At 35.4% G+C, this 23,904-nt stretch overlaps 1 long non-coding RNA gene across 1 annotated transcript in view; it reads right to left on the bottom strand.

The window, feature by feature from the left end:
- The window catches only part of LINC00587 (long intergenic non-protein coding RNA 587), a 137,873-nt gene that overhangs the window by 56,193 nt on the left and 57,776 nt on the right, over positions 1-23,904 (bottom strand). The window contains exons 2-3 of the long non-coding RNA NR_103830.1: positions 22,921-23,046; positions 15,499-15,566 (exon numbers count right to left, since the gene is read on the bottom strand). This is a non-coding gene — a long non-coding RNA (long intergenic non-protein coding RNA 587). The remainder of the gene's footprint in view (positions 1-15,498; positions 15,567-22,920; positions 23,047-23,904) is intronic.

Below are 23,904 nucleotides of genomic sequence, written 5' to 3'. Positions count from 1 at the left end.
TATCAACAACCTCCCTAACAATGAGAAGATACATTGCATAATTTATTCTTTTCAAAAAGGTATATTATTTATGTATTTTTGTTACCTTTTGCATTATTAAAATTATATATAATTTTATATAAATTAATATATAAATGTATCAATAAGTATATATTTATCATAAACAATAAATACATTTCTTTGTGTATTGAACAATGCATAAGCAATTTATATTGAACTACACACATACATACATTACCTTGGACTCCCTACAACCAACATCTTATTTTTTGCATACATCAAGAGATAATCTTTTCCATGCTTCTACTGATGATAGAGGTTTTATGATATTAAGAAACACTTTTCGGAGGTTCCAAGATGGCCAAATAGGAACAGCTCCAGTCTGCAGCTCCCAGCATGAGCGATGCAGAAAATGGGTGATTTCTGCATTTCCAGCTGAGGTACAAGGTTCACCTCACTGGGGCTTGTCCAAGAGCGGGTGCAGCCCACAGAACAGGGCGGGGCATTGCCTCACCCAGGAAGCACAAGGGGTCAGGGAATTCCCTTTCCTAGAAAAGGGAAGCCATGACAGACGGTACCTGGAAAATCGGGACACTCCCACCCTAATTCTGCCTTATTCCAACAGCCTTAGCAAATGGCACACCAGGAGATTATATCCCATGTCTAGCTTGGAGGGTCCCACACCCACAGAGCCTCACTCACTGCTAGCACAGCAGTCTGAGATCAAACTGCAAGGTGGCAGCGAGGCTGCGGGAGGGGCGTCCACCATTGTTGAGTCTTGAGTAGGTAAAGTGGCCAGGAAGCTCGAACTGGGTGGAGCCCACTGCAGCTCAAGGAGGCCTGCCTGCCTTTGTAGACTCCACCTCTCGGGGGCAGGGCATAGCTGAACAAAAGGCAGCAGAAACTTATGCAGACTTAAACGTCCCTATCTGACAGCTTTGAAGAGAGTAATGGTTCTCCCAGCATGGAGTTTGAGATCTGAGAACGGACCAACTGCCTCCTCAAGTGGGACCCTGACCCCCGAGTAGCCTAATTGGGGGACACCTCCCAGTAGGGGCTGACTGACACCTCATACAGCCAGGTGCCCCTCTGAGACGAAGCTTCCAGAGGAAGGATTAAGCAGCAACATTTGCTGTTCTGCAATATTTGCTGTTCTGCAGCCTCCGCTGGTGATACCTAGACAAACAGTGTCTGGAGTGGACCTCCAGCAAACTCCAACAGACTTACAGCTGAGGGTCCTGACAGTTAGAAGGAAAACTAACAAACAGAAAGGACATCCACACCAAAACCCCATCTATACGTCACCATCATCAAAGACCAAATGTAGATAAAACCACAAAGATGGGGAGAAACCAGAGCCAAAAAGCTGAAAATTCTAAAAATCAGAGCGCCTCTTCTCCTCCAAAGGAATGCAGCCCTTGCCAGCCATGGAACAAAGCTGGATGGAGAATGGCTTTGACGAGTTGAGAGAAGAAGGCTTCAGACGATCAGTAATCACAAACTTCTCCAAGCTAAAGGAGGATGTTCCAACCCATCACAAAGAAGCTAAAAACCTTGAAAAAAGACGAATGGCTAACTAGTATAAACAGTGTAGAGAAGTCATTAAATGACCTGATGAAGCTGAAAACCATGGTGTGAACTACGTGACACATGCACAAGCTTCAGTAGCCGATTTGATCAAGTGGAAGAAAGGGTATCAGTCATTGAAGATCAAATTAATGAAATGAAGTGAGAAGTTTAGAGAAAAAAGAGTAAAAGGAAATGAACAAAGCCTCCAAGAAATAAGGGACTATATAAAAAGACTAAATCTATGTCTGATTGGTGTACCTAAAAGTGGCAGGGAGAATGGAACCAAGTTGGAAAACACTCTGCAGGATATTATCCAGGAGAACTTCCCCAACCTAGGGAGGCAGGCCAACATTCAAATTCAGGAAATACAGAGAACACCACGAAGATACTCCTTGAGAAGAGAAACTCCAAGACCTATAATTGTCAGATTCACTAAAGTTGAAATGAAGGAAAAAATGTTAAGGGAAGCCAGAGAGAAAGGTTGGGTTACCCACAAAGGAAAGCCCATCAGACTAACAGCTGATCTCTTGGCAGAAACTCTACAAGCCAGAAGAGAGTGGGGGCAAATATTCAACATTCTTGAAGAAAAGAATTTTCAACCGATAATTTCATATCCACCCAAACTAAGCTTCATAAGTGGAGGAGAAATAAAATTCTTTGCAGACAAACAAATGCTGAGAGATTTTGTCACTACCAGGCCTGCCTTACAAGAGCTCCTGAAGGAAGCAATAAACATGGAAAGGAACAACCAATACCAGCCACTGCAAAAACATGCCTAATTGTAAAGACCATCAATGCCAGGAAGAAACGAGCAAAATAACCAGCTGAAATCATAATGACAGGATCAAATTCACACATAACAATATTAACCTTAAATGTAAATGGGCGAAGTGCTCCAATTAAAAGACACAGACTGGCAAATTGGATAAAGAGTCAAGGTCCATCAGTGTGCTGTATTCAGGAGACCCATCTCACATGCAGAGGCACACATAGACTCAAAATAAAGGGATGGAGGAAGATCTAGCAAGCAAATGGAAAACAAACAAAAAAGCAGAGGTTGGAATCCTAGTCTCTGATAAAAAACAGATTTTAAACCAACAAAGATCAAAAGAGACAAAGAAGGCCATTACATAATGGTAAAGGGATCAATTCAACAAGAAGAGATAACTATTCTAAATATATATGCACCCAATACAGGAGCACCCAGATTCATAAAGCAAGTCCTTAGAGACCTATAAAGAGACTTAGACTCTCACACAATAATAATGGGAGACTTTAACACCCCACTGTCAACATTAGACAGATCAACGAGACAGAAAGTTAACAAGGATATCCAGGAATTGAACTCAGCTCTGCACCAAGTGGACCTAATAGACAGCTACAGAACTCTCCACCCCAAATCAACAGAATATACATTCTTCTCATCACTGCATCACACTTATTCCAAAATTAACCACAAAGTTGGAAGGAAAGCACTCCTCAGCAAATGTAAAAGAACAGAAATTATAACAAACTATCTCTCAGACCACAGTGCAATCAAACTAGAACTCAGGATTAAGAAACTCACTCAAAACCACTCAACTACATGGAAACTGAACAATCTGCTCCTGAATGACTACTGGGTACGTAACGAAATGAAGGCAGAAATAAAGATGTTCTTTGAAACCAATGAGAACAAAGACACAACATACCAGAATCTCTGGGACACATTTAAAGCAGTGTGTAGAGGGAAATTTACAGCACTAAATTCCCACAAGAGAAAGCAGGAAAGATCTAAAACTGACACCCTAACATCACAATTAAAAGAACTAGAGAAGCAAGGGCAAACACATTCAAAAGCTTGCAGAAGGCAAGAAATAACTAAGATCAGAGCAGAACTGAAGGAGATAGAGACACAAAAAAACCCTTTAAAAAATCAATGAATCCAGGAGCTGGTTTCTTGAAAAGACCAACAAAATTGATAGATGGCTAGCAAGACTAATAAAGAAGAAAAGAGAGAAGAATCAAATAGTCACAACAAAAAATGATAAAGGGGGTATCACCACCAATCCCACAGAAATACAAACTACCATCAGAAAATAGTATAAACACCTCTATGCAAATAAACTGCAAAATATAGAAGAAATGGATGAATTCCTGACACATACACCTTCCCAAGACTAAACCAGGAAGAAGTTGAATCCCTGAATAGACCAATAACAGGTTCTGAAATTGAGGCAATAATTAATAGCTTACGAACCAAAAAAAGTCCAGGACCAGATGGATTCACAGCCGAATTCTACCAGAGGTACAAAGAGGAGCTGGTACCATTCTTTCTGAAACTATTCCAACCAATAGAAAAAAAGGGAATCCTCCCTAATTCATTTTATGAGGCCAGCATCATCCTGATACCAAAGCCTGGCAGAGACACAAGAAAGAAAGAGAATTTTAGACCAATATCCCTGATGAACATCGACGCAAAAATCCTCAATAAAATACTGGCAAACCGAATCCAGCAGCACATCAAAAAGCTTATCCACCACAATCAAGTTGGCATCATGCCTGGGATGCAAGGCTGGTTTCAACATATGCAAATCAATAAACGTAATCCGGCATATAAACAGAACCAACGACAAAAACCACATGATTATCTCAATAGTTGCAGAAAAGGCCTTTGACAAAATTCAACAGCCCTTCATGTTAAAAACTCTCAATAAACTAGGTATTGATGGGAGGTATCTCAAAATAATAAGAGCTATTTAGGACAAACCCACAGCCAATATCATACTGAATGGGCAAATCTGGAAGCACTTCCTTTGAAAACTGGCACAAGACAGGGATGCCCTCTCTCACCACTCCTATTCAACATAGTGTTGGAACTTCTGGCCAGGGCAATCAGGCAGGAGAAAGAAATAAAGGGTATTCAATTAGGAAAAGAGAAAGTCAAATTGTCCCTGTTTGCAGATGTCATGATTGTATATTTAGAAAACCCCATTGTCTCAGCCCAAAAGCTCCTTAAGCTGATGAGCAAGTTCAGCAAAGTCTCAGGATACAAAATCAATGTGCAAAAATCAAAAGCCTTATTATACACCAATAACAGACAAACAAGAGCCAAATCATGAGTGAACTCCCATTCACAATTGCTTCAAAGAGAATAAAATATCTAGGAATCCAACTTACAAGGGATGTGAAGGACCTCTTCAAGGAGAACTACAAACCACTGCTCAACAAAATAAAAGAGGACACAAACAAATGGAAGAAAATTCCATGCCCATGGATAGGAAGAATCAATATCTTGAAAATGGCCTACTGCCCAAGTTAATTTATAGATTCAATGCCATCCCCATCAAGCTACCAATGACTTTCTTCACAGAATTGGAAAAAACTACTTTAAAGTTCATATGGAACCAAAAAAGAGCCCACATTGCCAAGACAACCCTAAGCCAAAAGAACAAAACCGGAGACATCACGCTACCTGACTTCAAACTATACTACAAGCCTACAGTAACCAAAACTGCATGGTACTGGTACCAAAACAGAGTTATAGACCAATGGAACAGAATAGAGCCCTCAGAAATAATACCACACATCTACAACCATCTGATCTTTGACAAACCTGACAAAAACAAGAAATGGGGAAAGGATTCCCTATTTAGTAAATGGTGCTGGGAAAACTGGCTAGCCATCTGTAGAAAGCTGAAACTGGATTCCTTCCTTATACCTTATACAAAAATTAATTCAAGATGGATTAAAGATCTAAAACCATAAAAACCCTAGAAGAAAACCTAGGCAATACCATTCAGACCATAGGCATGGGGAAGGACTTCATGTCTATAACACAAAAAGCAATGGCAACAAAAGCCAAAATTGACAAATGGGATCTAATTAAACTAAAGAGCTTCTGCACAGCAAAAGAAACTACCATCAGAGTGAACAGGCAACCTACAGAATGGGAGAAAATTTTTACAATTTACCCATCTGACAAAGGGCTAATATCCAGAATCTACAAAGAAGTCAAACAAGTTTACAAGAAAAAAATCAAACAACCCCATCAAAAAGTGGGAGAAGTATATGAACAGACACTTCTCAAAATAAGTCATTTATGCAGCCAACAGACACATGAAAAAAATGCTCATCATCACTGGCCATCAGAGAAATGCACATCACAACCACAATGAGATAACACCTCAAACCAGTTAGAATGGTGGTCGTTAAGCAGTCGGGAAACAACAGGTGCTGGAGAGGAAGTTGAGAAATAAGAATGCTTTTACACTGTTGGTGGGACTATAAACTAGTTCAACCATTTTGGAAGACCGTGTTGTGATTCCTTAAGGATCTAGAACTAGAAATACCATTTGAGCCAGCCATCCCATTACTGGGCATATACCCAAAGGATTATAAGTCATGAGGTTATAAAGACACATGCACAGGTATGTTTATAGCAGCACTATTCACAATAGCAAAGACTTGGAACCAACCCAAATGTTCATTAATGATAGACTGGATTAAGAAAATGTGGCACATATACACCAGGGAATACTATGCAGCCATAAAAATGGGTGAGTTCATGTCCTCTGTAGGGACATGGATGAAGATGGAAACCATCATTCTTAGCAAACTGTCGCAAGGACAAAAAACCAAACACCGCATGTTCTCACTCATAAGTGGGAATTGCACAATGAGAACACTTGGACACAGGGTAGGGAACATCACACACTGGGGCCTGTTGTGGGGTGAAGGGAGTGGGGAGGGATAGCACTAGGAGATATACCTAATGTAAGTGATGAGTTAATGGGTGCAGCACACCAACATGGCATATGTATACATATATAACAAAACTGCACGTTGTATACATGTTTCCTAGAACTTAAAATATAATAAAAAAGAAACAGTTTTCACAATAATATTGACATATCAATTATAGTTGTGAGAAATAGGAAAAAAATCTGTGCTAAAATATCCTTCTATTCGTAATTAATCAGGTTTCTTTTCAGCAGCATGTTTTTACTATTGCCTCTTACCCTACCATGTGTCAAATTTTAACTTACATAACAACAAAAAAATTGTTTCGAAATATGAGCTATTTGATATCTATAAACAGATGGCTATCTAATATAAGCAGTTGTGTGTGCTATATGAATATCTCTTAAGTTTCACTGGAGATTATAAACATTTGAATTCTTGTTAACTTAAACATGAAATATAAGATGTGCTTATGTACAGGGTATTTATTCGGTGTTTTCATAGCTTTCATGTATCACTGAGAGTAGCATTTGGGCCACTTTTCATACACAGACGCATCTTCTCATCTACATAGTCATCCAGCATAGAAATACATTAAGAAAAAAAAAAAACCTTCCAAGTACAAATTACTAGAACATGTTTGGTCAGCAAATCTGCTATGTAGTTTCATGAAAATGAATTCTGCTGAAAAATATCTTGTGGTTTCCTTTTTCAGAAATACCAAAAAAATATGGCATTGCCAGAGTTGTATTAACCATGTATACTTACGAATCCTGTTTTTAAATGTAATTAGGAACACTGAAGCAATTTTTTAAAAGAGCATTTAATGTAAATAGTCTAAAATTACAATATTCCTAATGGTTTGGCTAGATGTATTATTTTATTGACTTTATGATATCTTCAAAAAATTAAACTTGGGTTCCAATTGAATTCACTGCAGAGTAAGAATATTCAAATGGGTCCTTATTAAATGTTTGTTGCCTGCATTTATTCCATCATTATTATTTTTTCTTATTAATCATTAGCTTCAAGTGATATTTTTTATCCTTTTTCAAAATATGTTGCAAGCCTCTGCAACATCTTGGTTTGCATACATAGTAAAAATATATGAAATAACTTGTTTAGTTAACTTTAACTTTTCATCCTTATACTAACCTCTGAGTTAATTGAAATTCCTCCAAAAGTATTGAAAAGCCAAATGAAAGGAATAGTCATGAGCATTTGCTCTCAAAGATCGGGAAGAAACTTGTTCTAAATGAGTTGTCTAGATATCTCTGTCTTGGGAGCAACTACAGAATGTCCTGCTGGGTCCGGGAACTCAGTTAAAAGACATGTGACTGCCTATTTAAAGTACAAGGATTTGGAGGCAGGAAATATAGATTCTAGTTACTTTACCTATGAAATGGGGTTTATACTATTTTCTCTATCAAATAACAGAGTTATCATATGCAAGATAATGCATTTGAAAGTGTTTTGTAAATACTTGCTAAGTAATACATACTATTGAAAGAAAATAGCAACTATGAGTTAAATTTTTCCTATTTCTTGATATGCAATAGGCACATATAATTTCATTTAATTCTTACCATAACTCTATGATGGATAAATTCTCAATATTATTTTGATACTGAGGAAAAGAAGCTTAAAAGTGGTTAGGTAATTGTCCCAAACTCGCACAATCAGAGATGGTGGAGCTGGCATGTGAATGCGGGTATATCCATTATACCAGGCTGCCTCCATTGTGGAAGTATTAGGCATTTTTAAAATTAACAGTAAGCAGGGAAAGTATAATTAATATATGTCTAAATTGTATTGTACATTTAATATTCTGTTGTTTGTTTTGAGACTGGGTCTTACTGTGTTGCCCACGCTGTAGTGGAGTAGGACAATCTCGGCTCACTGCAACCTCCTCTTTCCACCTCAGCCTCTGGAGTAGCTGGGACTACAGATGTGCGCCACCGTGCTCAGCTAATTTTTGTATTTTTACTAGTGATGGGGTTTCCTCACGTTGCCCAGGCTGGTCTGAAACTCCTGGGCTCAAGCAATTCACCCACCTCTGCCTCTCAAAGTTCTGGGATTAGAGATGTGAGCCCCCATGCCTGGCCTATTCTTTTCTTAAGTAGTTTATTTTTCAGTACATCTGTCAAAAAATATTTGAACAAATTGAGAGACTATAAACATGCTTAGCAATATTTTGAGGATATTCTTGTCATAGTCTCAAATATAGACAAGGGCATAAAAATAACTAGAATAGGAGAGAGAGAGAGAGAGAGAGAGAGAGAAATTGCTGAAAAAATGTGGTGAAAAGAAATGTTGTTGCTTTAGACAATAGTGTCAGGAATTAGCAATAATTTTCAAGGAAAAGAAAATGTTTCCAGGTAACATATTAGTCAATTAAAAGAAAGACATTCCAATTGACTGATTCCACAGTGAATAATCTCTGAAAGTAAAGCACCAGAAGCAGACTGTACCCATTAACACTGTGATCTACTGAACTTAACAAGGCTTTATATAATAAGTATAAAAATGCTGCTTTATAGTTCATAAGACTTTACCATTTTAGTTATCATTTATACAAATCTTATTTCATTACATTTATTCTCAAGTTTTACCAGGAACCTAGTTATTAGAACTGGAATCTGACTAAGGCTTAAGGGAAAGTATCTTATTTTTAATGAACAATTCCTACACACTAGGCAACTGAACTCACATACCTCATCTTATTTAAGATTCACAGCAACCCCAAAGTAGATATTATTATTCCACTATTACTGATGAGGCTTAAAGATCTTTAATAGACTACAAGATAAAAAAAATTATATGTTTTAGAGCTAGTACTTGAATCTGTTAAATCACTTATCTTTCTAAAAGCACAATATTGACTTACTCAGATAAGGTTATTACCTATCTATCTCAGCCTCATGAAAAGCACATTATGAAGCCATTATTAAGTGATTTGAGCCAAAATACAACCTAAGTGGTCCAAAGAGAATGATTGTTTTTAGTTAAATTAGAATTACATCAAGCTTAAGTTATTTACTGCAGCCTCTTGTGTATTTAGCACTGAGTCTTTGGTATTTACTTTACATCTATGTACATTCTACTATAGAGCCAGATTGCCTAGTTTTAGAAATACAAGGTTATCCTCTTACTAGTTGTATAATGAGAAATAGGAGGGTGGTGATGATGATAATGAAGAAGAAAAAGATAGAGATGATGGTGATAAGAATAATAACAATGTTAGAAGTCTTACAATGTACCAAGCACAAGGAAATTTTGTTTCAAGAAGGACAAAACAAACCTCACAATTTTTTGGGAAAGGTGGTGGCAGCGGCAGAGAGAATATCCTAAGAGACAAGAAAGTGTAAGAAATCAAGTGTGGTCCAAGTTTACTGAGGAGGTTTTAGAATAGACAGAAAGATCTGTGTAACAGAAAATGTCTTTCACTCATACTCCTCTCCCAGTATGTCTCCATTAATCCTATCCTGAAAGAAGATCTTTCCATGAAATGCAAGTCAAATTGAGAACTCTGTATCACTATGTGATGTATTGTGTATTCATGTAATATTTGGTCGCAAATAATCAACAAGGAGCTTAATCACACAGGGTAAAGCAATGGAATGGTGCATGGTTAGGAAACACAGTTAGACCTCAGGAGGGACAGAAACCAGAAATTCTAATGTGAAGAATGTGTTTATTATCTCCTTATTTTCAGTGATACCTTATCTCTTATCTCTCGTATTTCTCTGTTTTATTATTTTTTCACTCTCCGTAGACAGTTTATGTTAATGTCTCTGCGTATTATTAAAAGGTAATTCCAGTTCCAGATTTACATAATTTCCTACATAATTTAACAGTTTTTTGTTCTGATCAGTCTGTATGAACAAACTCTGTCTACTCTACCTTGTTATTTTGCTTTATGTGTTTCATGATTATACTGCTACCTCACCTGTGCTTTTTCTGTCACTCTCACCAGATTAGAAGCTAAAAGAGAGCACATTTTCTGGTTTGTCCCTCAGTGTCCACTGTAGACCTTGTGAAGGATTAAATACCCAGTACATATATGTTGAAAGAATGCTGGATAAATCTCAGACTCGAGATACATGCATACAGAAATAACTGACTTGTGAACTAGTTAAATAGATATTATCAGGAGAGTTTTGTGTGTGAGAGAGAGACAGAACATATAAGAGCTTCCAGAAAACAGAGTTTTTGGAAGTAAACATTGCTAACAGAGGAACAATAGCCTGAATGACTGTCCTCCTTTTCTTTTCAGACTCAAAAGGATCATTATCACAAACCATAATTAGTCTCTTCTCTGTAAATTAAGATTATCTCTGTTCTCACTCATTCCATTTCCTGGAAGAATATTCAGAAAAAATATTTAGGAGAAGTGACAGAGTGCTCAGCTAAGCCCAACTTTGACCCAATGATTTATGATAGATATAAATATGGATAGATATAGATTTATATAGATATCAATAACATAATTGTATATATCATAAAATTTCATTTGTTGTTTATGATATACCAAATACCCCATGTACTTTACATATATTTTCTTACCTAATGTACACACCAACTTTATGATATGAATGTTGTTGATAAAAAGCCAATTTTGTAAGTGAGAAACAGACATTTGGTACGAGGATTTGGTACATTGATTGTGGATTTTCATTTGGGTACTCTTATTTTAAAGCTCATACTCTTAGCCAGGACTCTATGCTACCTCATTACTATTTCTGGGCAATTTCAGGGTGTTGGTTAAGTCCCAATTGATCCACTCAAGTTTTTACAATTTCATGAACCTTAATTTTATACTCCATCTTCTGTCCCACATAGAATTACCTCATATCCATTAAGATTCCACCTAAATTTCAATTTTTTATAAGCACTTGTTTTTAACTCATGCTACAATGCTACACGTGTATCCCACACCTCCTCAAAAACAAACAAACAAACCTAATTTGTTGATACGTCTATGTACCTCATAAAAATTTTGCCCTATTTGAAATTGAGCAGGGTAGAATTTCTTAATGCAGCTATAAAATAATTTTTGTAATTTCCCCTCATGTTTTCTGTGTTTTTCCTCAGTTTTATTGCTTTACCATGAATTTATGAAACATTCTTACAAGCTTATTGCTATGAAGTTCTCTTTGTTAATTCACCCGATTAAATCCTTTCTAATTTTAAGAGTGGCATAATGATAATATAATCTTTTTAAAAAATCCTTCCTTTCTCCCTTCATTGTTTTTCTTATTTTCTTGTTTGTTTTGTAAACACATTGACTCCTAAAATGGTCTCTTTATTCCTTGTCATTTTTTTGGAGCCTGTCAGATATTAAGATACCAGGATTTGGAGTTAGAGCTATGTTTAAATTTTGGGCACCACCAATTGTTAAATGAATAAACCCCTTAATCTCCCAAAATGACAATAGCACTACATTCTTTGTGGTTGTAATGTAAAGTAAATAAGATAATATAATTATTCATGCCATCTGCTCTTCAAAGCCATCCAGAATTGCATTTTATAATTCTCTGTGACAAAACACCCTCATAACTCACTGAGATCAGCACGTTTTCTCAGATACCCCTTCCACTTGTGATTTCCTGCCTTGAGTGACCTATTTTTTGTGGTTATAGAGAAAATAGTCTGCTCTAAGTTGCCAAATAGCTCATCATAGTGGGCTTGCATGAATTTGTGTGTGTGTGTGGGTGTGTGTGTGTAATCAGTAGTTTTCAGTTTCAATATTGATTATCTAAGGATTCTAAGAGTATGGAAAAAATGTGACCAAACAGAATAGGATACAACTAAGTACTGCAGAGACTGAGAGATTAAGACTGAGCTGGGGGCCCAGGATGCTAATTTCAAGTCATAATTCTTCTTTGACTACCTGTGTCATCTTGAGCAAGTTACTTAATCTCTCTGTAACTTAGTTTCCTCATACATGAAATTATAATGAAAGTATCTATCTCATAGGGATTATTGTGAATATTAAGAGGATAAATTTATATAAAAGGCTCAATTAGTATTAGCTATTATTGTTATAACCTTAGCATATTTCTTTCTCAGCCTTTTGGCTGTTCCAACTAGATATGGGTACTGGTGATGTCCTAAAATCATTTTCTTGGTGACAATGCAGTTTTTGCAGTTTGGGTTTGTTTACAAGAGATAGTCCAATGACAAATATAGAAAGCTCAGGATTCAGGGTGCTTTGATTTACACTATCACCTAGTAACTGAGTGATCTTGGGCAAGTTGCTGCTCTAAGATTGATTTCCTCATGGGTAAAACGAGCATACCTGTCTCAAAGGGTTGATGATCAACTGAGATAATACATTTAAAGTACTGAGCACGGTGCCTAGTGAACAGAATTCTATACCTGAGTCAATGTTTGTCATTGCTGCTCCTGCTGCTATTTCTATAATATATTGTTTAAATCACTTTATTGTGAAATAGATAATAATCATAATTAGAAGCCCTTGTAAAAAACAAAACAAAACAAAAAAACGAACAAAAAGCTATGTGGTGCCCTTCGTGCAGCAAAACAAAAACAAACAAAAACTGAACAACAACAGACTTTCTATCACTTACAATGGTTTCTTTCTCTTTCTTGTTCTGAAAATTTCACCAGCTAGAAATCCTTTTGAATAGCAAGTCTTCGCTTTTCAAATAAGATATCTTTCTGAATGGAGAGATTATTGGCCTTCAATACTCCTATAAATTAAATCAATCAGCTTTCTTTCCTTTGCAGTCTTGTTGAGATTAACATCACTGAGAAATGGAATTATTCATTGGGGGAGTAAAGAAGTATGATTACTAGATCTTGGATTACTCTGGTGAAATGTATCAATCAGTCCCCTATGAGTTTATGACATCATTAAATTTCTGTGAACTTGGAAGCATAGAAGGAAAAGGACAGTTACAGAAACTGGTAATATTTTCTAGGATGAGTTTATGCCCAGGAAACAAACAAACAAAAAACCCCTTTCACCTTTTACTGTTATTACCTTTATTAACCAAGAATAGAAAGCCAAGGAGTAATGCAAAGAGAGAGAAGGAATTACAGAAGGGGCAATATATTGAAGAAGAAAATAAAGGATGGGACTCGGAGCACTACAAGTATGATAAACCTTTTGTAGAAAAAAAGTGCACTTCCTCCTTTTAAACTGATTGAAGATGAGTAAAATAGGGGGAAATGGAAATAAGTTTGTGTTTTGTGATGGGAAGATGAGAATATTTGTGTGTGTTAGACTGATTTTCTCAATGAAAGTGGAGAAAATATCAGAGGAAGCATAGGAGATTTGGGGATCAAAGAAAAGACATGAAATAATCAAATTAGGTAGTAATTGCCAAACCTTTTCTGTAAGGGACCAGATGGCAAATGTTTTCAGTTTTGCGGGCCATGCAATCTCTGTTGCAACTCCTCAACTCTGCCATTGTAGGGTGTGATTAATTTTATGTCAACTTTACTGGGCTAAGAGATTCCCAGGCAGCTGGTAAAACATTATTTCTGGGTGTCTTTGTGAGGATGTTTCCAGAAGAGATTAGCATTTAGATTAGTGAGATGATTAAAGCAGATGGCCCTCCACAGTGTGAGAAAGCCCAAATAGATAAAAATGCAGAAGTGATAACTCAGTGGGGTTTTAATTTGCATATCTCTGATGATTAGATTTTTAAGCGTTTCTTTATGTACCTTTTGGCCATTTCTTTATCTTCTTCTGAGAAATGCCTATTCAGATCTTTCACCTATTTTTCAATTGGGTTATATATTTTCTTAATATTCAGTTGTTTGAGTTGCTTATATATTTTGGATATCAACCCCTTTTCTGATGTCAAACTCATAGAACTAGGCAGTAGAATGATGGTTACCAGGGGCAGGGGATGGGGGAGTTGAGATAATGTTGTTCATAGGATACAAAATTTCAGGTGGATAGAATAAATAAATATTGCACAGCTGTGTGCAGCTATAGTTAATAACAGTGTATTATATGGTTGAAAACTGCTAAGATAGTATTTTTCAACTGTTCTCACCATACAAAAATGATGAGTATGTGCAGTAGTGAATATGTTAATTAGCTCAATTTCGCTATTCCACAATGTATACATATTACAAAACATTTTGTATGTGACAATATATACAATTTTTGTAAATTAAAAGAAAATGGCAGAGAAAGGGCAAATTTGCTCTCACTCTTCGAGCTGGGACATCCAACTTCTCTTGCCCTAGACAGCATCAGCTTACCTGGTTCTTTGTGTGCCACCATTTTTTTTTCTTTGGTAAAGATGGGGTTTTGCCATGTTGCCCAGGCTGGTCTCAAACTCCTGAGCCCAAGCAACTTGCCCACCTCATCCCCGCAAAGTGCCGGGATTACAGGTGTGTGCTATCACACCTGTCCTTAGCTGTTCTTTATAATAAAAAATGTGCAACATTTTTCTCCACCTAGTAGTATTGTTTGTTTTCTTTCACCAAATTTCCTGTGATAATTGTGGAGTTGGTAGACATCTTAGGGTCTTTTAACAACTCTGGGTAATTTAGATAAACATTTTATAGTTAATCTTTTCATTTTTATTTTTTGTCTTATGCTTCAGAGGGGGATTCAAGGGGCCAAGGGGCCAGTGATTATTTCATTGTTTTTGCTTGTTATTGTTGTTTACTTACTTGCTTACTTGCTATGCTTACCTATAGCAAAGTTTAATCCATTAATAATATTCAACTTTTAAAGTTAGAAAAATTACATATATGCAATCTGTTCCCTCTGTCTCCTGCATCCTCTCACCTCTGCACATTTACTTGCAGGTGTTTTTTCCTTAAGGAGAGTCAAATATTTTAACCAGGGTTGTAAGGAAAGTATACTGCCCAGCCCCTTGTCATGGGGATGATTATGTAATTCACACCAGGCTACTTTGGGTGGTCGTAGAATGTTAAAACTGGAACTAAGAAAAACCAAGTTTTTGGATTTCAAAACTAGAAATATATCGAGTTTATGCTTACGGTTTCATGAAGAAATCTTTGGTGAGGGAATTAAATTTGCATAGAGAACTTAGGACAAATGGGATACAAATTTATAGAATCCTAATTGCATTTTATTTTGTTTTTAGCAATCATTGATGTTCCTTTATCCCCTGCTATGTTTCTTTGTGTTGCCTAAACTGGTTCAGATTGTGTTTCTGTATCTCAAAATCAAAAGAGAGTCCTGGACCTTACCCTTAGACATTGAATTTGTTCTTTTACGGTCACCCATACCATAAGCATTCAAGATTTCTATTGTCCACCTGGAAAAGCCAAGAAAGAAAAAATGTCAATGACAATCTCAGTGTCGTTGGAGAATAAAACACTATGGAGTTTTATTTTCATGTAAATGCTTGTGATAAAAAATAAAATATAGAGTGAAAAATCAAGTTCAGTAAGTGTATTTTCACTTTCTATTCTTTCAGGCCAGCAAATTGATTACTTTGTATTGTTTCTAAAATACTTATAACCATAAGTCCTAATTAAGAGTGTAGCTCTTCTATTGCTATGTTTAATTAAATGTAATGATTTATTGAAATTGTGACACCATATCCCTGCTCTTATTTAATTCCAAATGGCAGAGTACACTAGTTTGCAAGTATTTCTGCAACTGCCTAAGGATAGTGGTTAATTTTACTACTTTGACTAGTACTTTGATTGCTGCTGCTTTAATCAAGCTTCCCATCTACCTAAATCAGCTATTACATACTTAAGAATTGAACGTTTTATACAAAACACTGTGGCTGTATTTTAATATGGCTATATAGATAATTAGAGACATATCATATAGTAGCAGCTCTCACAGTTGAACAACTTCAAAATCATGATCCATCATAAATAATTGCAAGGATTACATAGAATAATGGACATTTTATATGCTTACAATTGGCTGGTATTGTACTCCAGTCTCCTTTTAACTTTCCAGCATAAATAGCTGGTAAGGTGGTAACAAACAAATGTGTTTTTAATATCTAAATTGTCAAAGTAAAACCCCAAGCTTAACAACCTCAGGGACACCCAATTGACATGGCTCTAAACATTCAGTAGAGTGAAAGCTTGAATAGGCATTGAATCAATCAGGACAGGTTATAGGCTTTAGTAACAAACGATCCAGAATTCTCAATAGCTTAAAATAATAAAGATTTATTTTGCACCCATGGTACAAGAAGGATACCACATTACACATCAGAATAACAGAATAGCGCATTGGAGTATAATACCAAGGGTTGGAAAGGTTGTAAGGGGAGGGAAACTTCACACTCTACTACTCTCAGGTGTATTAATTGTGAAAGCTATGGTAGAAAGCAGTCTGGCATTATTTATTGAAATTAAATGTGGTTTTTGCTCTGTGGTTCAGCAAATTGCCAAAGAAAGTCTCCCAAAACCTACAAGAATGCACTAATAATTTTGAATAATTGGAAGGGGATAATATTTAGAGCATAATACTCTTTGTATATATTAAAGCATTTATTCCACAAATACACTATAGCTACACTTATATGTAAGTATCTGTATGAAACTGTGTACTATAGTTCTTATAGGAGGACAGGAAATAGAAGTGATAATGAAAGGACATGAGCAAATTTAAACATAAATATAAAATGTCCAGTGCTGGACTTATGATTTTTAAAAAGTGCTATGAATTGAGGAAGAAAATTCACTAAATTGTTTTACCTGATATTAAATCCAAATTTTAAATAAGATGGGGAAGAAAGTGTCAAAATAATACCTACAAACATTTATTTTTGTTTTAACCATTTTTGGTCCATTGTGGCCAAAGTTTACAGGAGTTCTGTAGTTCTGGATATAGCCATCATTGGCCAATATATTTTCTGCCGCTAGGGAATTCATTGATCCATTTAATAATCAGCAATTTCATTTTTACTTTCTATTAGTCACCAGGATACAAAAATGAATAGAATTGTTACTTTTCCCTTATTATGCAGGGATAGCATAACTCATGGAAAAAAAAGAAAATATGATAATAATAAATGATCAACAAGCTATAACGTGATATATTAAATAATATCAGATTAGTGTGTGGTAAGAGACAAATAGAAAAATTAGAAATTGGGAAATTATGTTTGTGGTTGCAGTGCAGATGTGTGTACATTCAGGTACAAAGAACTTACTTCCATTGCTTCTGACTTAGCTGCTTTTCCATCAGTCCATTTCTAAATAATTTATTGTGCTTGCATTTTTAATTTTAATGTGGAAAATAAGTGAATACCTACAATTAAATTCAATATAAACATACAAAAACAGTAGTCTATGTGTTCCTGGCAGTTTTTCTTTAGACACATACACATACTTACCATACACACATACACACACGTACATCTTACATGCATTACACAGTTTTATAAAGCCCTCTTTTTAATTTACTGTATCACAAATATTCTTACATCATAATCTCACCTCTAAAACATAATTTTTTGAGTTGTAAAGACATTTGATGCACAATGACTTTTTTTGACACCTGTGCATTTTTAAACCATTTTATTGAAGTATGATTGACATACAAAAAGCTGCACATTTTTAATGTTTACAACTTGATACGCTTGGAGTTAAGTCTGTACCTGTGAAATCATAACCATAGCCAATGCCATAAATATAGCCATCATCTCAAAGGGTTTTCTGCTTCATATTTATTATTCTTTCTAAGAACAAAAGTATATTTGTATGTAGTATCTGCGTACATAGCACCCAGTCAAGATAAAGAACTTACCATCTGCCCGGAAAGTTACCTCCTGCTCTTAGCAATCATTATCTCCAACTGCACCTGTCTGCTTCCTCGACTCAGGCAACAACTGATCTGATTTTTATCACTCCACATTACTTGTGTCTGCTCTAGAACTCTATTCAAATAAAATTAGAGAGGATTTATTCTTTAATGTTCAGCTTTTTCTTTTTACTTTATTTTATTTTATTTTTAAGATGGAGTCTCCCTCTGTCGCCCAGGCTGGAGTGCAGTGGCACAATCTCGGCTCACTGCAACCTCCACGTCCCAGGTTCAAGCTATTCTCCTGTCTCAGCCTCCCTATTAGGTGGGATTACAGGCGCCCGCCACCACCCAGCTAATTTTTGTATTTTTAGTAGAGACGGGGTTTCACCATGTTGGCCAGGCTGGTCTCGAAATCCTTATTGTTGCGTAATATATATATATATCACAGTTTGTAATCTTTTTGAGTTGTTTCCACTTTTGCGACTGCTATGAATGAAGTTGTGAAAATTTGGGAGGTTTTTTATGAACTTTTACAACATTATATTAATAGTTGTATTTTATTCCATTACAGCAATATACTTAAAATTTTATTTTGTTGCTGGGCATGGTGGCTCATGCCTGTAATCCCAGCACTTTGGGAGGCCGAGGTGGATGAACCACTTGAGGCCAGGAGTTCAAGACCAGCCTGGCCAACATGGTGAAACCCCGTCTCTACTAAAAGTAAAAAAAAAATAGCTGGGTGTGGTGGCACGCACCTGTAATCCCAGCTACTTGAGGCTGAGGCATGAGAATCGCTTGAACCCAGGAGGCAGAGGCTGAAGTGAGCGGGGATCACGCCACTGCACTCCAGCCTGGGTGATAGAGAGAAACTCTATCAAAATAATAATAATAATTTAAAAATAAAATTTCATTTGTCCTATTTTAATCTTTCTATAAAAACCAATTCTGGTACAGATGAACATGTTTCTATCAAAACATTTGCATAATTATTGAAAATAATTTCCTGTAATTTTTACTGGTTGGTCAAGAATTTGGCTATATTGACAAATCTTGCTTTTAAATTATTGTACAGATTTAAATTTTTGTCTTTATTTTTTCACAAGTAAATGGTTACTAAATTGCATAATTCCTTTTGTTTCTTTTCACTCTGTTTGAGTCAGCCTGTGGAAGTGTTATTTGGGAGGTGTTATTTAGAGGAAACCTATGCCCAGTGTTGTTTTATTTGTATTAATTTATCACAGTGATGAAATACTTTCAGTGTTCATTGAACCTCTTTATGTTTATACACACACACACACACACACACAACTTATATTGCATTCCCATTATGTGCATATGTACATTTGTGTATGTAAACTTAAAAAATTAAAAAATTAAAAATAATGAAATTCCTTCTTATGCCTATCCGTCTTTCATGACTGTGTAGCATCCTTAAAATAGTTTCTTATTACCTTTTGGGAGCCCCTCTTCTGTACTGTGTGCAGTCTGCATGAATTGATCAATATCTTAGGCCTAACTTCCCTTGAATTAATGAAACATGCACGCATTACAAGTTAGATATGTACTCTATACGTAGATGCTGTGTCAGTAATTAGAGACACAAGTAAACAGGAATCTCACCAAAATCACTTCTGACATACCAGCAGCATCTCCATTGTCAGGTGTCACTGAGGTTAATGTTGCAAACATGGTGTTTATATTCAACAAATGCAGTGGGGGTATCTGCAATGTGAACAGTATTGTGGCATCATTTTTGTCTTAGATCTGAACATTTTCAAGTTCACCCACAATTTCTTGGAGCTACAAAATATTATTTTAATAAATATAACTGCTCTCTAAATAAACTCCATACTACATTTCATTTGCTTTAAACTAAAAACACCTACAGATAAATACAGTAAGCCTGAGCATAATCACTGGTTTTGTAAGTCAATTGTTTTTCCATTTCTGTCCATTTTTTTCTTGACTTTTTTTGTTTTAGTTCTCTTATTATGGATAGTAATCTATTCTGTAACAAATATAGGGAATATTTTCTCTAAGTCTGTTGATATCATAATTTGATTATTTTCTTAGTTAGAATATAAAATTCTATAAAGTACTTGCATACTTTAAGTCAGATTTAAAATTATGCATATTGGCTAAATTCTCTCCATTCTCCATGTGTGATTTTCCCTGTTCCCTTTCAACCTTATTATCTGTCTCCACTAGTTAATCCTTAAATGTTAAAGAAAGTCTTAAAATAAGACATTTGTGGGAGCAGACTAGTTTTTCCTCTGTAGCTCTGAGATCTACAATTATCATTCTAGCTTTATATAACTATTCAGTCACCTAGGAGAATCACTTCTCATATAACTCTCTTCTGATGAATTATTAAAAGTGACTGATGTTTATGTGAATGTTTTAAAAATTATTACATAAAATTCTGTTTTGGGGGGCTTATAAAGTTTTGTGATATAGGCAAGGATAAAATTATTATATTAATTTTTAAAATGATACCATAAAATTTTAAGAAAAAATAAAGTTTATATGGTTTTGAAATGAATGTCAATTTTTTATAACATTATTTTTTCCTCTTACATTTCCTATCATATGATGTACAATTTTAATTTCTCCATTACATAGCTCTCTTGATTAACGTGGTATCTCACAGGACTCCCATTGTAAAGGTACTTTGTTTCTCTTTTTTTGTAGAAAAATATATTTTATTTTATTTTTTAATTATTTTTACAAAATTGTACACATAAAGGGTATACATTTGATATTTTGATACAAGTATACAATGTATTTTAGACTATATAAATATTTTTCATAAAACATATTTTTATATTTTCATTAAGCTTTCAAATTATTTATATTTTACATAAGTATGGACTTACAGATTTTCACATTATTCAAGTAATTATAAACTTCTATTATCATAACTTATTTTCACACATAACTTTGCCAGTTGGACCAGCTTTCAGCTGGCTTCTGTATCCCTTTTTATATGTTTCCATTAGTTTTTAAACCTTTCTAAGTTTCCTGGTACAGCCCTAAATTTCAGTCTCATCTTGTCATTTAACATCCATAGTGCTGAAAATAGCCATTTCTCTCATGAGCCTTAGTTTCTTCTGGTGGAGAGTGGTAATTCAAAAGTAAGATCTTTGCATAATAATTGTTTGTTACTATTGAGGTGCCACAGCTCCAATGGTCTCTTAGTGGACGCAGCTAGGGTATGTATGTATGTATGTATGTATGTATGTATGTATGTATGTATGTTTGCATGTGTCTGTGTACAGATTTATGCATTTACATCTGTGTTTTTTTCTACCTATCTGTCATGTGTCTATCTACCATGTGTCTATCATTCATCTGCATATGCAATACCATGAATTCATACCAAAACTCAAACTCCAAATCCAATCATGCACAGTTCATTTTTATTTTCTCCCTTTTCATATTTGTAATTCCTTTCTCTGATAGAAAGTGATTCCCATTATTACACAGACACACACACACACAGTTTCAATCCCTTTGTATGAAACTGATCCTTCTTTGCTATGACTTCCTCCAATCCTCATACACACAGGCAGACATCCTCTTCAACACACTCGTGTTTGAACACTTTATGAGGAATAGTGCCATACATAGGACATTACTTCTTACCACTCAAGTTAACATTCTTCCTTGGGCTTTCTTCTGCATGAATGGCATCTCTCTAGAGTCAGGCTTTGATGCTGTACCAGTTCAGCATCACATCTCACCTCCCACCACATGGACATCTTCAATTTACATAGGCTCTGATATTCTATTGTAGGCCACCAAGACTTCCACCATTCTTCATGTGAAACTCTAACTTAAAGGTTATCAAACTAAATTTTTCAAGAAGGGAAAAAGGCAAAGAGAAGAGAGAAGAGAAAGAGGAAAGGAACAGATGCTACATCTTCACATTACAAAAGACCTTAATGGTATGCTAAACAACAACTTTGCAATAGTTTATTTAATTGCTTTGGATTTTGTCTCCAAAATCACTGTGTCTTAGAGAGTTAAGTGACTTGTGCTTTAGAACTTTCATTTTTTGAGTTTGCAATAAGAATGGATCCAATTATAGAGACTACAGTTAAGGACTAAGTTTGACCTGTGTAGTGAAATTGTCTGCAAAACAGGAACACAAGAATTATAGCTGTAATAATAGAGCAATTTTTAATGTTGCTGAGAAATTAAAATATAACTTTAAAGTGACACTACACATATTTCACAGAAGGGCTCTAAGATTAGAGTTAGAACAACATAATAATACATCCATGCTAAAATAATAAAAATATTGCTCTTAAATAAATAGAAGAGTGGAAATAACTGTTACGTCTACTAGAAAACCAATATTGAAGAAAATAAACAAGACTAAAACTCTAAACATATGAAGCTTTAAGCATAAATCTCACTAAGGAGTGACAAGTGAATGATGGTTATCAATTCAAAGCTGAGCATTTAGCAGCCATCTGAATTCATTTCAGGCTTAAAAATGCTTTGTGTTCTTGTGTGATTCAGAGTTTTAAATTATCTTTTACATCAGTAGTGGTGTTCAGTCAGTCCAACAGGAAGCAGATGCTGAGTAGGAGGTAGCAGTATAAACAATTTATTTGGGAATAACACCAGTGAAAGATAAATGCGGAAGGAAGCAGAATTGAGCAGGATAAATCCTCTATCCTCTCAGAAACCTGTGAAAGCAAAGGGACATGGAGCAGGATTGGGCAGGGCTTCATACCATGATACAGATGTGAAAGAGTAGCAGATAACACAATGAGAGCCCTGGATCAAAGATGGCCCATTAAAGGATGCCCACATTGCATGCCAACACTTGGCTGGAGCCTGCCAATAAAGGAATTGTTTTCAGCTCATAAACTGGAGCTTACCCGGAAGGATGGAGCCAGTCAGCAAACTGCATTCTTCCCAGCTAATCAGGAATTTCTATCTTGAAGGGCACTCCAAGTGTTGCATCTCCATGGCTACCACAACAGGATAATTTTATCTGAAAAAGTCTTTAAAAAGTAATTCTGTCAATGCAACAATTTATTCCTCTAATTCATTCAGCATTTATCTAATGTCAAGCTTTCAGGAGACTATGATAAATACAAACTAGTTATTTCTCTCAAGGAGCTTAAGATATGATGGTAGGAAATAAAAACAGTTAAATAGCAATGAAAATGAAATATGACAGATGTTATAATAAGAATATTCTAGAAGACAAAGGATTGAGACCCTAACCAAGCCTGCAGGCATTCCCAGCACTTTCTAGAGCATGAGCAGATAAACTGAAGTCTAAAACAAGCAATAATTGTTTAAGGAAAATGAGTTGGAAAAGTAGGTGCAGAAATCAATATTTTAGAGTAAATATCGTCTTTGAATTTAGTTTGATATATTTATATACATATATCAAATGTCTGGCTTTGTCTCATGCTGAGAGAAGAGAAATAGCAGTCACAAAATTTAAGAAAACTGCTTAAGAGTCAGGAGATATACCTAATGCTAAATGACGAGTTGGTGGGTGCAGCACACCAGCACGGCACATGTATACATATGTAACTAACCTGCACATTGTGCACATGTACCCTAAAACTTAAAGTAACATAATAATAATAATAATAATAAAAGAGTCAGGAGACTATGGAGAAGTATACTTATTTCTAGATCAACTTTTGAGTAAGAAGAAAAGAACTTTTTAACACAAATATTAGTGCCAAAGGTAAATATTGAAAGGGTGTGGAAAGCTATAGCATCTATTATATGAATAAGAGCCATAGAAAAATGAATACCAAAGGATGACTCAGTAATATCAAAAATTACATTAATATAACTTTCCATTTAAACATAATTTTAAAACTTAAGGGCAGAAAAGC

The sequence above is a fragment of the Homo sapiens genome, chromosome 9 (assembly GCF_000001405.40).
Source record: "Homo sapiens chromosome 9, GRCh38.p14 Primary Assembly".
NCBI classification, from domain to species: domain Eukaryota; kingdom Metazoa; phylum Chordata; class Mammalia; order Primates; family Hominidae; genus Homo; species Homo sapiens.
The sequence above is the reverse complement of the archived record's forward strand: the minus strand, read 5'-3'. Positions and strand labels throughout refer to the sequence as shown.